Here is a 3,139-nt window from a genome sequence, read left to right on the forward strand (position 1 = left end):
CAATCTGTTGATGATGCTGTGGGGAACAGACGCTCTCACTCATTGCTAGTGGGAATCCCAAATGGTGTACCCCTTTGGTGAATTTGGCAATATCTAACACAACTGCATGTGCATCCCATCACCCAGAAATCCTACTTCTAGAAATTTACCCTGAAGATACACCTCCAACAATAGGCATGAAGCTATTCATTACAACATATTTGTAATTGTAAAATATGGAAACTACCTAAATAAGAATTGGTGGAATTAATTATGGTTCATACACACAATGAGGTACTATGCAGCTATAAAAAACAAAGCAAACAAGGGAGATTTCTATGAACTGATATGGAATGCTAAGTACATAAGAGGATATATAGTATACTATCTTTTGTGTAAAAAAGAAAAGAGGGGAAACAAAATGTACATCTATCTGCTTATTGTTACCAAACGAAGTTCAGGAAGGATAAACCAGAAAACAATAAAGTTGGTTGTTTACTGGGGGTGGGGAATGGAAATGATTCTGGAAGGAGTGACACTTCTCTGAGAAGTTTTTATGATATAGTTTTGACTTTTGGGAGCATGCTAATGTTCCACATGTTTGAAAATAAAATTATAACAAGTTGAGAAGGAAAAGAAAAGCCTGAAACCAAAAGCAAATGGAAACAAGTGACCTCAGTGGTATTTCAGATAAATACTATAACCACGCAGAAAGGGAAAAAACAAAAGAAAGAACAAATCCAAGGAACTCTTGAATACAGTGCTTGACTATCTACTGGTCAGTCTTGGGTAAAGTTGAGTGGGGGAGAATTGCAAACAACTCCTGAACTCTTTTTATTTATTTATAACTGTAAAAAATTTATTTTATTTTAGATTCAGTGGGTACATGTGCAGGCTTGTTACATGAGTATACTGTGTGATGCTGAGGTTTGGGCTGCTAATGATTTCATCACTCAAGTAGTGAACATAAGTGAACATGGCATCCGATAGATAGTTTTTCAATACCTGCTGCCCTCTCTCCCTAACCCCCTTTAGAATTCCCAGTGTTTATTGTTCCCATTTTTGTGTCCATGTGTACCCAATGTTTAGCTCCCACTTATAAATATGCTGTATTTGGTTTTCTGTTTCTGCATTAACTTGCTTAGAATAATGGCCTCCACCTGCATCCATGTTGCTGCAAAGGACATGATTTCCTTCTTGTTTATGGCTGTGTATTAATAGTATTCCAGGGTGTATATGTACCACATTTTAGGAATCTAACCCACCATTGATGGGCAGCTGGGTTGATTCTGTATGTTTGCTATTGTGAATAGTGCTGTGATAAACACACAAGTACAGGCTGAGTGAGATGGCTCACACCTGTAATCCTAGCACTTTGGGAGGCTGAGGCAGGAGGATTGCTTGAAGCCAAGAGTTCAAAACCAGCCTGGGCAGAAAAGTGAGACCCTCTCTCTGAAAAAAATAAACAAACCCCTCAAGTCAGCTGGGCGTGGTGGCCCGTGCCTGTAATCCCAGCTATATGAGAAGCTGAGGGAGGATGGCTTGAGCCCAAGAGTTTGAGGCTGCAGTGAGCTATGATCATGCCACTACATTCCAGCCTGTGTATCAGAGCAAGACTCTCTTAAAAAAAACAAAATAATACAAAACCCCAAAAAACATACAAGTGCAGGTGTCTTTTTGATAGAATGATTTATTTTCCTTTGAGTGTGTACCCAGTAATGAGATTGCTGGGTTGAATAGTATTTCTAATTTTAGTTCTTTGAGAAATTTCCAAACTGCCTTCCACAGGGGCTGAACTAATTTGCATTCCCAGCAACAGTGTATAGGCGTTCTCTTTTCTCTACAACCTTGCTAACATCTGTTATTGTTTGATTTTTTGGTAATAGCCATTCTGATTGGTGTGAGATGGTATCTCATTGTGATTTTGATTTGCATCTCTCTGATAATTAGTGATTTTGATAATTTTTTCATATGTTGGTTGGTGGCTTGTATGTTTTCTTTTAGAAGTGTCTGTTCATGCTTTTGCCCACTTTTTAATGGAATTATTTGTTTTTTTTTCTTGTTGATTTGTTTCAGTTCCTTATAGATTCTGGATATTAGGTGTTTGTCAGATGCATAGTTTGCAAATATTTTCTCCCCTTAAGTAGGTTGTCTGTTTACTCTGTTGATAGTTGCTTTTGCTGTGCAGAAGCTTTTTAGTTTAGTTAGGTCCCAACTGTCAATTTTTGTTTCTGTGGCGTTTGATTTTGAGGACTTAGCCATGAATTCTTTGCCTAGACCAATGTCTAGAAGAGTACTTCCTAGGTTTTCTAGGATTTTTATAGCTCGAGGTCTTACATTTAAGTCTTTAATCCATCTTGAGTTAATTTTTGTATATGGTGAGAAATAGGGTCTGGTTTCGTTCTTCCGCATATGGCTAGCCAGTTTCCCAGCACCACTTACTGAATAGGTTATTCTTTCCCCATTGTTTAATTTTGTTGACTTTGTTGAAGATCAGTTGGTCGTAGGTATGTACCTTGGTTTCAGGGGTCTCTATTCTGTTCCATTGCTATGTGTTCATGTTTTGTACCAGGTACCATGCTGTTTTGGTTACTGTAGCCTTGCAGTATAGTTTGAAGTTGGGAAGTATGATGTCTCTGGCTTTATTCTTTTTGCTTAGGATTGCCTTGGCTATTTGGGCCCTTTTTAATTCCATGTGAAGTTTGAAACAGTTTTTTTCTAATTCCGAAAAAATTAATGTTGTAGTTTGATAGGGAATTGAATCTGTAGTCTGCTTTAGGCAGTATGGTGATTTTAATGATATTGATTATTCCAATCCATGAGCACTGCATGCTTTCCCATTTGTTTATGTTGTCTATAATTTATTTTAGCAGTGTTCTATAATTCTCTTTGTAGAGATCTTTCACCTCCTTGGTTGGATGTATTCCTAGGTTTGTGTGTGTGTGTGTGTGTGTGTGTGTGTGTGCATGGCTATTGTAAATGGGATTGTGTTTTTGATTTCTTGATTTGGTTCTCAACTTGAATGTTATCAGTGTATAGAAATGTTACTGATTTTTGTGCGTTGATTTTTTTTTTTTTTTTTGAGACGGAGTCTCGCTCTGTCACCCAGGCTGGAGTGCAGTGGCATGATCTCAGCTCACTGCAGCCTCTGCCTCCTGGG

This window comes from Homo sapiens, chromosome 12, assembly GCF_000001405.40.
Source record: "Homo sapiens chromosome 12, GRCh38.p14 Primary Assembly".
Taxonomy (NCBI): domain Eukaryota; kingdom Metazoa; phylum Chordata; class Mammalia; order Primates; family Hominidae; genus Homo; species Homo sapiens.